The following is a 14687-nucleotide window of genomic DNA, read 5'->3' on the forward strand; positions in this document are numbered from 1 at the left end:
GTGAGCCGAGATCACACCACCGCATACTCCAGCCTGGGTGACAGAGTGAAACTTCTCAAAACACACACACATACACACACACACACACACACACCCCAATGCTAAAGCTTTTCTGAGGTTCTCCCTCTCAGCGGAGGAGGCTTTGCTAAGAAAGGCTTTTGTGTCTAAAACTATTCTTTTATTGGTCTTACAAAGATGCTTAAAATTCTCATATTTAGGTTAAGCTAACTATTGAAGTGCATGTATTGCCGCAGAGAGTAATTAGTCAAATCCTTACATACCCTTGGTCTTACAACAGGAATTAGTTTTACTACGTTAGCAGAAAGCTCATGTGACCTATGTATTTGAGAGACAGGGAAAAATTTGGCCATAGTGATCATATGTCCTGGATTGCTTGGTCTATGGTTTGCACTTGTTGTCCTGATACAATTATTAATAGTTTTCCTTTCACTCTCAACAGTGTCCTGGTTTGGGTGATAAATTATATGATCTAATATTGGTCAACTCAGTGGATAATGGAAAGTATAATAAGGCTGTTAGAAACTATGGAGAAGGTGTGAGTGAAAAGCATCAAGAAAGGAAGTGGAGAAGATGACTAATTAAAATATCAGATTTTATATGGGTTTTTCTTGTGATGACATCTATTGAATATTTGTGTTTTATTGTTATAGACAGTTCAGTGTCAAATTGGTTTTAACCACTCAAAATTTCATAGATTTTTTTTTCTTGCTGCCTTTTGGTATATGCTGAGGAAATGCAAACTAATGTGATACTAGTCTAAGAATATAAAATTATAATGGTAAATTTACAACTTTAAAGTTAACTTCTCCACATAGGAAAAAGTTTTTCAATCCTTACATAAGTAATAACAATAATCAATACTTGCGTATTACTTACCATGTTGTGCATATATTACTGTTTAAGAATAAATAGGTAAGGCACTTAAACACATAACTCATGTAATTCTCAAATCAACCCAATCTGTTAGATTCATGTGTTATCCCTTTTATAGATAAGGACATTGAGGCACAGAAGAGTTAATTCACTTGTCTAAGGTCACATGGCTATCAAGTGGTAGAGCCAGGATTCAAACCCAGGCCACCTAGCTCCTGTCTATACACTTCTCATAGGAGTGTGTGTGTGTGTGTGTGTGTGTGTGTGTGTGTGTAACCTTATTTATTTTATATTCTTGTTAATGTAACTCTCCTTAGTGAATCAAGAGTTAGGCTTTAGTTTTATTTATAAAATGTTTTTGCATTTGTCCCATTTATAAGTATTGAAAATAGACATAACATTATAGGGTGTACTAGGTGTTTTAAAAATTATCTCTTTCAAAAATATCCTTTGACCAATCTTTTTTTCCCCCAAGGAGAGAAGAATTTAAATAGAGATTATGTATCTTTAGTTTTTAACCTGTTTTTTGAACTCTTGACCTACAGTTCTAACTACCTGTTAGATATTTTTACCCATTCTTTCTAGGCAGCTCAAAATTTATCAGCCTTTAACTAAATTCACCATTTTTTAAGTCAAAAATCCTCCAGTGGCCAGTTATAGCACATTTAAGGGAAAAAACTAGCAATTTATGCTTTTAAATAGCTGAGATGTCTAAAAGGTTGGGGCAAGCTTCTGAATTAAAATAATTTTTACCAGGAGATCTCTGCCTCCATTTTATAAGATGGATTCATTCTCAGATGGGTTCTCTTTACCCTTTGTTAACCTTGTCCATTGGTGACTCCATGTTTACCATTATTAGAGTTTATGTTTCCAGACTGAAGATGTGTCATTCACTCCCTCTGCACCATAGATAATATGCCAGTCTCCCAAAAGGATTCGGATTGGTTAGCTTAGATCATCTAATCATATTGATAACCCATCAGAAATACATTTAGTGGGATATGCAGGGTAGGCAAGGTAGCTCTCTAGTATAGAACTCATTTTTCTTCCTCTCTCACTGCCTATAACCTGCTTCTCTTATTTTCTACCACCAGAGATATCACAGTCTTTTCTCAGTAATGCAAGCTACAACCCTGAACGTCATTCTTACTATGTCTCTTTACTTTTTTATTCAGTTATTCAACTAATCTTCTCAAATCTATTTCTCAAATATCTCATGAATTCATCCTGTTTTAATCACTTCCATTGCCAGTGGCTTCATTTATGCCTTCATCATTTTGTATGTGGATAAATATATCATTATACCAGCTGGTTCCTTGTCTCCAGTACCACTTCCTTTACTGTTGTTGGAGTGATTTTTCTAAAACATTAATCCGATCATAATATTGCCTCAATTAATATATTTTAGTGATTTCCCATTGTCTGCAGTATAAAAATTTCATTATCCTTAGACATGGCATAAAAAGCTGATCATGATCAGACAGACTCCAGGTTACTCCTGCCATTTTATATGCATCACCTTTTCCCATATTTATTTTTCTTTAGCTACACCGGAGTACTGTAAGTTTTCCAAATACTCCAAACCTTTTTATTCCCCTCTATATCATGCTGTTGTTTTTGCCTGAAATGTTTTTCTTTCTTCACTTCTTTGCCTAGCTGATCTCTCTTGTCTTAGTTTGACTTGAACTGTTTTCTAGCCATAACTTCACCTATCATCCTTCAGTAGCAACTTGTGCACCTCTTGATGATGAAATTTTTATTTTTGCATCTTTATTGCCTGTAAAGTTATTGAGGTTAAGGGAATGTATTTTCTTAATTTCTGTACTCCTTGTACTATCTTACTATAGTTGTTATCCAACATATAGTAGATGAAGTAACGAACAAATGAGTAAATAAATGAAAGCTCAACATTTTTGGATTGAGTATAGTTGTAGAATTTAACTATATTTAATCATGGAATACAGAGATAAAATGTACCATAGAAATCTTATCTAAATCTGTCTGGAGACGTAAAATAAGATGACAACAAACTTTTAAGTACCCTTTGAAAAACTTAAGCATGTTTTCTTTGCTAAAAACATTTTGAAATGTTACCTTTCTTCTTTTCATTTAACTGCATCAGATCATTGGTTTGAAATCATGGGTAAGAACTTTTTAAAAATTTAAAATAATTACTTTTGTAGTTAGGCAAAATGCAGAATTGTGAAATGTGTGCTATTGAATGCTAGCATAAAATTAGATCAAAAACCTAGGTGCAGCACCATGGTAACACTTCACAGGCTATTTACTAACCACATCATTGTGCTTCGAGTAGTACATTTACGTGATGGAGCAGTAAGTGAAATCTCTAGAAATAGATGCTGGGTGATGCTCATACAGTGTAACGTGGCAGGAGGTATGATGGGAGTAGTCTACTGTGGGTGCAAGTGAAAACAAGGTACCTTGTCTGTGGACCATTTTAAAATAATAATAATAAAGCTGTTTTAAAGTCGTTCTTCTCTTTAATATCACCGTGTGCTAGCAATTGTAAACAGCATTGGTGATATAAAACTATTCGTCCACAGGGCAGATAATTCCCACTATCTCCCTCCCTCTTGGTGTGCCACTGAGATAACCTGTATGTTCTTATTAGATATACAGTGTTCCCCCCTTTTCTCCTGGGCATGTGTTCCAAGACCCTCAGTGGATGCCTGAAAGTTCAGGTAGTACTGAACCCCATATTTATATATGGGGTTATACATTTTTATATAACACATACATACTATTTTATATACACATACATACTATGATATACATACATGCATATATATACATACAATGTTTTTTCTAAACATACATACTATAATAAAGTTCAATGTATAAGTTACACACAGTAAGAGATTAACAACAACAATAATAAAATAGAACAACTATAACAGTATACTGTAATAAAAGTTAAGTGAATGTAGTTTTTCTTTCTGCCTGTCAGAATATCTTATTATACTGTACTCACCTATTTTTGGACTGTGGTTGACCATGGGTAACTGAAACCATGAAAATAAATTGTTGATAAGGGGGACTGCTGTACCCCATTCTAAGTTTTCATCTTACTCTGACTTTCATATGTGTTCTCTTATTCTTATAGCACACAATTGCATTACATTTTTCAAATAAATGTGAAAACTTAAGAAAAATTAGATCAGTTTAAATTTTAGTAGGTAGCAATGATTGTTAAATGACTTTTAAATTTATCATACATATGATATACATTTTATACATTTATAATTGGCTTTCTTCTGTCTACTAAGTGCCATTGTGTGTGGAGGGCATTTTCACTGGTTTCTAACTCCCTTTTTTTTTGAGATGGAGTCTCTGTCGCCAGGCTAGAGTGCAGTGGCGTGATCTTGGCTCACTGCAGCCTCTGCCTCCAGGGTTCAAGCGATTCTTCTGCCTCAGCCTCCCAAGTAGCTGGGACTACAAGCGCCCGCCACCACGCCTGGCTAATTTTTGTATTTTTGGTAGAGACGGGGTTTCACCATGTTGGCTGGGATGGTCTTGATCTCTTGACTTCATGATCTATCCACCTCAGCCTCCCAAAGCCACCACACCGGGCCTGACTTCCTTTTTTTTAGAATTTAATTAGTGCAGGATGTTCTATAATGAATTTAGTTTTTAGTTCATTTCATTAGATCTTAACCTACAGCCCATGTAATTTTCTCTTCCAGGATACTCCTTTAGTAATATTGGATATATACTGCTTTAGAAGAATTAATGTCTTAAAATGTGAACAATTATATTGATAATTAGCAGTGTTTTAATGATTTGCTCATACTTCTTTTTATGGCCTTTATAGTTTTTATTCAAACAAAGAATATAGATAGATAGATAGATAGATAGATAGATAGATAGATAGATAGATAGATAAATAGAGAATAATTTGACTGTGTATTATAAAAGCCAAAAAGAATGCTGCAAATGACATCAGCTTGAGACTAAAGCTCTTGCTTAGCATAATGTTAGTACAGATATTCTGTGTTATTTTGTGTTAAGTAGGACTGTACTCTCTATACTCTGGCTAAATGTAATTACCTAATATTAACTCCTGGTCACTGAAGATTTGTTAATATGGCTTGTGATGCAGCTAAAAACTGTATTTTTGTTTCTTTTTCATGGTTGTATATTTGTGTTCTCCAAAGCTTGAGAGAAAAGATCATTTAGTAATTGATTTATAATTTCTAGAAAACTATTTCCATTTAAATGAAAGCTTATAATCATTAAAAAACATTACTTTTCCTTTTTTTTATACTAGAGTCGAGTGTGCCCATTTCTTATAGATCCTTCTTCCCAAGCTACAGAGTGGTTAAAAACACATTTGAAAGACTCACGTTTAGAAGTTATCAATCAGCAGGTATGTATTATTTATAATTTACATACCAATTAGGAATGACCTCTTATAGTGAAAAGATCTTGGAGTCTATAATCAGAAAACATAGATTCAACACTGGGTCCTACTGTATGGGACCTTGGGCGAGAGATATAACTCTTAGCTTCAGTTTTCTAATTTGTAAAAAATAGATAAGAATATTTATTTGATTCTGGGTATTGATCTAAGCCCTGGGAATTTAATAGTGAGTTCCTTCCCTTATAAAGATGACAGTCTAGTAGGTTAGAGAAACAATTAAAGAAGCTTTGCACTACGTTATGACTAATGACACAAGTATAAGCTGCTGTAGAAGTAGGAGCTTTTAAGTTAGCTTGGAGAATCGGAAAAGCCTTCTAGCCTTTTAGCATATTTACAGTTTCTCTGAATGCCTCTCATAATTTCCAATTTCTTTAACTCATTGACAGACATCTTTAATGTATCCCAAGATTTGATAATTGTTCAGTGAAATATAATCATAGTCTTTTTGGTAGTGACTTCTCAGTTTCATGTTTATCTTGCAGAGGAAATTATTTTTGGTTAGGTTATTATTTTGTTAAAGGAAGACCTAATATATGATTAATTTTCATAGATAATTTTCAGGTGTTTCAAAAATTACCTCTAAAAGTTACTTTACTTGTAAAATGGGGATATCTACCTTATTTTTTGTGTGATAAGAATAATTATAAATTAAATAATATATAAAATACTTTAATAATCATTTATGGCTTGCATATATGCAAATCATTTATGGTTTGCAATATTATATATAACTATATATGCAAATCATTTATGGTTTGCAATATTATGTATGACTACATATAAGTATACTATATATCTCTATATAGTTATATACATTATAAGTACTATATATCTATGGTTATAGTTATATACATATATCACTATACTATATATCTTATATACATATAAGTATATAAATATACTATATATATCTATAGTTACAGTTATATACATATAAGTACTATATCTATATATAGTCATAGTTATAGACATATAAGTAACTATATAGTTACTTTTATATATATGTACACACACACATATATATATACACACACATACCACACATACACACACACATACACACGCCTGGGGTGATGTTTAAAACTACTCCTTCCCTATCTAGAAAGCCTTAAAATTCTTGATTATTGAATTTTGCCTAAAGGTTCTTTTCAGAATTATCAGACCTATCCACCAAGAAAATTTTACTAGAATTCATCATCTTGCCTTTTTTCCCCATTCAATGTGTGATTCTGAACATAAGCAGAGTAGGGTTCTTATTAATACTTGGGTGAGTAATTTATTACCTATAGAATCTGAAATTGTGTTTCTATAACATTTTGAAATTACTGTAGAAAATCAAAGAAAGGATGTTTGTAAATATTAAAGTAATTAAATAATTAATACGTATTCTTTTTTATTCAATTAGGATAGTAACTTTATCACAGCTCTTGAATTAGCAGTACGTTTTGGGAAAACCCTTATTATACAAGAGATGGATGGTGTAGAACCTGTTCTTTATCCATTATTGAGACGAGATCTGGTTGCTCAAGGTAAATAATTGACACTTTCCAGAGTGTAAATATTTTTAAAATTTCCAAAGTAAGTAATTAAACCAGGTGCAAGCTTTCAAGAGTCCTCTTCCAGTGGAGTCACACATGATGGGCTTACTTCCTTCAGCAATATGTGTAAAGTTGTGACAATATGTGTAAAATGTTGTTTATCAGGAAAGCTCAGTAGAGACCTAGTACCCATAGTTTACTGGGGGTTGATTACGTAAGCACACTCTCCCTAGCACATTACAAAATTCTAGACCCCCTGAAGGAAAGCAGGTGTAGCATAAACCATATTGTTTGTACAAACAGTTTAGGCACAGTGAGCCACTTTTTTGAGTTCTGAGGATGGTGAGAACTCTCCCAAAAGCTAAGTTCCCAGGTGCTGGTTATGGGCCAACTTTACAAGTAGCCCTTTCTAAAGAGTCTCAGGATTGCTATGTTAATTCTTTTCTGCATAGGAACCCAGCCCAGTCTTGGATGATTAGAAGGCTATGCCTTGAAACTTAAAGAGCATATCATGCAAAGTGTATACACATACATATGTAGACGTGTACATATACGTACGTGAATGTATGCCACATACGTTGCTAGCACAGCAAACTTTAAATAGAAAATTGATGTTATTGGGGCAACGCAGAGAAATAGCAAAGCATGCACTATTCTCTGATAACCTATTGTCCCTCACATTGATATGTTTGGCCTAGTACTGGTTGATATGTTATGAGAACTCAAGTAGTGGGGCCTTTGTAACATTATCCTCTTAATATATTTTATGGGCATGAAGGGCAGGGAATATCTAAGCTACTGTATAACAACAGAAGCTTGTAATCAAGAAAGTGACCTTGCTAGAATGGAGTTGTCTTCCAGAGCTCAGTTTCTGGTCCTTCTGTTGGGGGTAACTCAGATCTGCTGAGCTAGTTTCTTGCTATGATATCTTAAGGAGGAGGAAATGAACCTTTAGGGCCATCTCAATTTGCCATTCTTCATTCTATACTGTGGTCCTGAAGGACTCATTAAATATAAATCTCCATGAGTTCTGGTTAGTGTTAGGTTTTAATGGTATGTGTGGCATTGTCTGAGTGTAGAGTGTTGACTAGATCCCCTGAAAAGAGTGATAAATTTTATATCATGATTGGTTCACATTTTGAACTGTTCTAGGTAGTTATGCAAGCCTGTTTAGGTCAATTTGTTTATGTCAGAATTAGGAAAAGAGAGTTAACCATTGCCCCTATCTTACTTTTTCCATCTTCTCCGCAGGGTTGGATGTATTCGTGTCACACTAGTCTGTTATCCCCTTTGTGTATATTCCAGATATTGTCCTTTTCAAGAGTGATAAGTTCCTCATGAGTTGCCATTTTTTCATCATACATTAACTCTGGGGACAGAGGATGGTAGTCCTAGAATCACATAAAACAAAGTTTGTGCCAAGTTTGTTTACATCCCAGTGTCCTTAATCTAAGATATACAAATTACTTTTCTACTTACTGTGTTTAAAGCAGACATAAATATAGGAATAGAATGTACTTCTCTCCTACAAATTTATGCTCGTCAAAAATCTTATTTATTGATCGTAGAAAAGCAAGGTATACTTCTTCAAATTCTCTTTTTCTCTCTCTCTCTCCTTTTTTTTTTTTTACTTTGTTTCCTATGTGCTTAGGAGCTCAGCCAAGACAGAAGGTAGATGTGGCAGTTTGCAGTTGGTAAATAGTTGAAGACAATTGGACCAGCTAACTGTATAGAAGTTGTTGAGGGAGAGGCTAGTGTAGTTGGCTAATAGTTTTACATTTTACAAACAACAGACATCAAAAGTATCTTCTATTAAGCATTCTAATCCTTTATGGTTGTTTTATTTCCATGTTGAGTTTGAGTATGGAACCAGGAATTATACTAGAGATGACAGCTAAACATTTGTGGTTGATTCTTTTAGTCCAGATGCCTCCTTTTAGGCATGGTTCCTACAGAGACAGGCATACGTACATGCAACATAAAGGTTAAATTTGTGATTAATTGTTGTCTCTGTTTTCAAGAGGTATATCTCCATATGGATGTGTCTTTCGTAGTCCAATTGCTTCTGGGTGACCCAATGGCCCGAAGACTGGTAGATCACTGTTCTTCTATTAGGAGCAGTTTTGTCTCCCAGAGAATATTTGGCAATGTCAGGAGACATTTTTGGTTGTCACAGCTGGAGTGGAGGGCCACTATGCTAGAGACATCTTAAAATGGACAGGACAACTACCTAACAACAAATAATTTCTCAGAACAAATTGTTAATACTGCTAAGGTTGAGAAACCTTAAGCTAGTTCACTAGTTCCAACCCATGAGTCTCTGGACAGGTATATTTTAGTTGGTCTCAGAGTGGCATATTTTCTAGCCAGGAACACTACTTGAAGTGAGCTCATTGTACAGAATATCCAATGCTATAGATTGCCAGAAATTGTACCTGTGGTTAGTTGATGGGTATAGCATTGCATTGGATTTGCTTATCTGTAAGATTATTTGTAGATATCTGTAATTTGGTGTACCTGAAGGGTATAGGGACCGAAGACAAGGATTGATTTACAGTTGCCTCAATTACTTCCAAAGGTGCCTCTTGCAAGGGCTATGATTTAAACCTAGCCATGTTTGTTGACAAGATATAGGGGCTATGGTGAAATTTCCAGGTATGGAACATGCTGCTTTTTATAGGCCAAGAGGGTATTCAGATGTTGGTTATCTTTCTTTCTTTGTATTTAGTGGCTGTAACGCAAGCAGTTGGTCTATAATGGGCTGTGGGATATCTCCTTGTGAAATGTTTATTTCCTTCTTTGGGTGCCAGAGTTTTAGATTTGCCTTTAATTAAGTCCCATTCATCTTGAGTTGTGCCTGAGTGGTATGCAATACAATGTGAAAAGTTTTCCCACTGGAGACCATTATCAAAATTTTATCTACATAATGGAATGGAATTTGGACCTATATGGAGGTTCTCATGGTACTTGAATTCATCTAACTCAGTTGATAATATATTTCTGAAGTGTTTGGACCTATAAAGGTGTCCTGCATACAATAGCTGAACTGATTTTGGTCTTCTTTTGAAAAGAATATAAAAGAGAAATAATTAGTAATAATTAGCAATATCCCAGTCTGCATACTAAGTATCAGTTATGACAGCAGTTTTTATATTCATTGTTATGTCAGGTACTATGGAATCTATGGTGGCCACTGCCTGGTTTAAATTTGAATGGTCATAGTAAACCTTCAGCAGCATTGGTTTCCAAAATTCAGACAGATAAAATTGTGGAGCACCCCTGCCTGGTGTAAAAATATAGATTCCTTTGCACTTTCTGTCATAATACATTTCTTTCAGCTGTAAATATTGATAGGATTTGGGTATACCTTATAGGTTGATCTTGCCTGAATCTTTATCTGATTGTTACAGAAGTAACCAAAGATATCACAGTGAGTGCATCTAAATATATCCATGTATCCAAGCACCCCAAATGTTCATTCCGTTGTACACGTTGACTGAAAAAAACAAACAAAAAAACAAAATATCCAAGCCTTATGTTGGTTCAGAAAACAATAGCCATGTAAATTGGCACTTTCCCTGGAAAGGACCCAGAGACCAACTCTTGTACCTTGCCCAATCATGCTGTCTTTAGTTATCTAAAGTACAACACAGATTCTGTGTTCAGAGGAAAAAAGTAGTCAAAATTAACTGCATCACAGGTTAATTCCAATGTAAATTAAGAATTCATACAGTTAAGACTGTGTTGGACTCTATAGTTCTACATTTGATATTTTCTATGAATAAGAGATGAGACAACACTGAAGAGTCTTTTTTAGACAATAAAATATTTATTTTAAAATATTTTCAAAAATGTTTTATCAAAGTAGTACATGCATGGGTTGTAAAGTCAAATGATACAGAAGTGCAGCAGCATTCTGTTCCTCCCCTCCCATGACTAGTTCTACTCACCAAAGAAAAACTTTTTTTATTTTAACTTTTTATTTAAAAATAAATATGCGTAAAGAAAAGAATACCTAAATTTATAGCTAATGAATTTTTACAAATTGAATACACCTGTATAAACACCCAGATCAAGACATAAGAGCTTTATTAGCACTCCAGAAGCCCACTTACTTACTACACCTCTTCTCCACAAGGATAACCACATTCCTAACTTACAACAGCATAGAGAAGTTTTGCTTCTTTTTGTACTTTGAGTAAATGAGAAAGAAAAAAAGCAGCACCTGACTACTCTAGACTGAGATCTGGCCAGATTCTAATAGCTTGGACTTTGTGTACTCCTGTTGAACATAAATCATTTCATAAAACACCAACATCAGAGAGGTCACTCTGACTGCAGTCATGTTTGAGCACAAAAAACAGGAACACTTTCCATAACACAAAAATAACCAAACATTCTCTTCTCCCAGTTAATATGAGTGACTCCTGCTTCTTTACCAATGATAGTTTAGTCCCACTCCATTTCTCTTACATATACATAAAAATTAAGATACTAAACCATTGTTTGCTCTTTCTGATCACACCCAATTCCCAGGAAAAGTACATTTTTCTTGAATTATTTATAAATCGCCTAACACAAGCCAAAATCCTCTAACAAGCCTCTATTAAGTCCTTTGTACTGACATAATGCACAATTTCCCATGATGTTCTATCTTTCATTGTAAAGAGCTGGTAAACGTGAGCTATGGCTCTTTAAACACTGGGATTATTTTGTTTTGTTTCTATTGTGTTTTTTGTGTGTCTGTCAGCTTTGGTTAAGTCGTATTTTTTTAGGTGATTGTTTTATCTAAATTATCACATAATATATATTTTAAATAATATTCTCATCTTTTCAATGTCTGTTGGCTTTGTAATGATGTTTCATTTTTCCTGATATTGATAATTTTTATTATCTTTTTCATTGATTAGTCTTGATAGGGATTTATCAATATTACTAATCTTTTCAAAATACCAACTTTCAATTTTTAAAATTTTAATTTTAGATTCACAGGGGACATATGCAGGTTTGTTTAACAAGCGTATATTGCATGATGCTGTGTTTGGACTCCTATTGATCACGTCACCCAGATAGTGGACATAGTATCCAAGAGGAAGTTTTTTAGCCTGCGATCCCCCCTCACTTTTGGAATCCCACTATCTAATGTTACCATATTTCCCAAGTCTGTGCGTAGCCAACCAACTTTTAATGTTGATTTTCTGAACTGTATTTTAAAATTGATGTTGCTCTTTGTTATTTCATTCCTATCACTTCTCCAAATTTTATTTGGTCTTTTCTAGATTTTTGAAATGGAAAATCAAAATATTGATAGTCTTTTCTTTTTTCTAATATATGCATTTATGTCTATCAATTTTCCTTTAAGCCCTTCTTCAGCTTCCTACCCAAGTTTCAGTTTCTTTTTTCAACTTATAAATTCCTTAGTATTTTGTTGTTTAATTTTCAGGTGGTTGGAGATTTTCTAGTTACATATTTGTTATTGATATGTAGCTTATCTCCATTTAGTCATAGAACTTATTGTAAAGTATTTTAATTTTTTGAATTCTGTTGAGCCTTCTTTCTGATCTGGCATTTGGTTATTTTTTATAAATGTTCTATGGAACTTGAAAATTGTATGAATTTTGCTCTTGCTTCATTTAATTTTCTGTACAGGTTAATTAATAGTGTCAAGTTTGTTAATTGTGATGTTCAAATCTATGCCCTAATTTATTTTTTTTCTTTGCTTTATCGTGTATTGAGATAAATATCCTAAAGTTTCTGTGATTTTGAATTTGTCTTTTAGTTCTGTCAGTTCTTGTTTTAAATATTTTGAAAGCTATGTTATTAGATGCATACATTTTTGGAAATGTGACATCTTTCTATTCAGTTGTCTTATTTATCATTATGAAATGTTCTTCTTTATCTCTATAAATGTTTCAAGCTTTAGAGTCTGATATTAGAGTGGTTACACAAACTTTTTGGACTAGTATTTACATGGTATATACTTTGCCATTCTTTAACTTTCAACTTTTTTGTTGGGTTTTTTAAAAAATATTTTATTGTGCATATTTAAGATTTACAGCATTATATTATGAGATACATATATATCATAAAATGCTTTTCTGTCGTAAAGCAAATTAACATATCTATCAATTTACACAGCTAGCCCCCTTTTTGTGTGTCAAGAGCAGCTAAACTCTACTCCTTTAGCACAACATCCCAAATGCAATAGTTTTGTTACCTACAGTCCTCATGTTGTACATTGGATTTCTAGACTTAATCATCCTACATATCTGCTATTTTGTATTCTTTGACTACATCTCCCATCCCCTCCTTCATTCCCCTGCTACCTGCCCCTGGTAAATACTGTTTTATTCTCTGTCTCTATATATTTGAGATCAAGCAGTAATTTTCTTTCTGTGTCTGGCCTACTTTACTTTGTATAATGTTTTCCAGGTTTATACATGTTATGGCAAATGGCAGGATCTACTTTTTTATGACCGAACATTATTCCATTGTGTGCATGTGGGTGTTTGTGTATACACATCATGTTTTCTTTTCTTTTCCTTTCATTTTTTTAGAACAGGGTCTGACTCTGTTGCCCACCAGGCTTGAGTACAGTGGTGTGATCCATAGTTCACTGTAACCTCGAACTCCTGGGCTCAAATGATCCTCTGGCCTCAGCCTCCTGAGTATGTTGGACTATAGGCACATACCATCATGCCCAGCTAATTAAAAACATTTTTTTTTTTTTTTGCAAAGACGAGGTCTCAGTATGTTTCCCAGATGGATCTTGAACTTCTGGTCTCAAGTGGTACGTCCGTCTCAACCTCCCAAAATGATGCGATTACAGGCATAAGCAGCCGTGCCTGACCCACATTTTCTTTATCCGATCTGTTGATGGACATTCAGGTTGTTTCCATGTCTTGGCTGTTGTGAATAATGCTGTGAAGAAATGGGAGTGCAGATATCTTTATGAGGTGGTGACTTATTTCCTTTGGGCATATACCCAGAAAAAAGATTGCTGGGTCATATGGTAGTTCTGTTTTTAATTTCTTTAGGAACCTTCCTACCATTTTTCATAATGGCTGCCCTGGTCTTCATTCCCACCAACAATTCCCTTTTCTCCGTATCTTCATCAACATTTGTTATCTCTTGTCTTTTTGATAATACCCATCCTAACAGGTGTGAGTTGATATCTAATAGTGGTTTTGATTTGCATTTCCTCATGATAAGTGATGTTGAGCATCGTTTCATATAGCTGTTGGCCATATTTGTATCTTCTTTGGAGAAATGTCTATTCAGGTCCTTTGCCTGCTTTTTAATCAGGTTATTTATCTTTCTGCTATTGAATTGTATGAGTTTTTTCTTTATACATTTTGGATATTAACCCCTTATCTGATATATGGTTTATAAATAACTCCAAGTTTTTAGGTTATTCTTTCATTTTGTTGATAATGTGTATTTTTCAGTTACTCATGTGATAATCTGTTTTTTTAACCATCATTCTGTTTTCAAATACTGTATCTTAAATACTAGTGCAATAAACACTTTTAAAATGATGAATTTAGAAGTAAAGAAAAAATATAATTGAGGATTTCTATTTTTGTCATCTATAATCAGCCATTTCAGAGCAATCTGGAATATGAAACATATTAATGTTAAAACCATACTGAATGAGAATAGATATTCCTTGGGTGCTTCAGTATCCCAGGATCTTCTTAGTGAATATTATTTATCATTGCTTGCATAAGTGCTGATAAATAGAACATTCTGCTAATAGTATCTCAGGTAACCCAACTTTTGCCGTCTTAGACTCTGTCGAAAAGCCTATATTT

General features: G+C 33.9%; 1 protein-coding gene across 5 annotated transcripts in view; it reads left to right on the forward strand.

Annotated features, from left to right (window-relative positions):
• DYNC2H1 (dynein cytoplasmic 2 heavy chain 1) overlaps window positions 1–14687 on the forward strand; it is a 370438-nt gene that overhangs the window by 129085 nt on the left and 226666 nt on the right. For 4 of the 5 annotated variants that reach the window (NM_001377.3, XM_017018291.2, XM_006718903.3 and 1 more), the window contains 2 exons: window positions 5183–5281; window positions 6741–6864. In NM_001377.3, coding sequence (NP_001368.2) covers window positions 5183–5281; window positions 6741–6864 — 223 coding nt within the window. Of the gene's footprint in view, window positions 1–3016; window positions 3038–5182; window positions 5282–6740; window positions 6865–14687 lie in introns of all 5 variants that reach the window. The other variant, NM_001080463.2, reaches the window with a different exon arrangement.

Source organism: Homo sapiens, chromosome 11, assembly GCF_000001405.40.
Source record: "Homo sapiens chromosome 11, GRCh38.p14 Primary Assembly".
Classification (NCBI taxonomy): domain Eukaryota; kingdom Metazoa; phylum Chordata; class Mammalia; order Primates; family Hominidae; genus Homo; species Homo sapiens.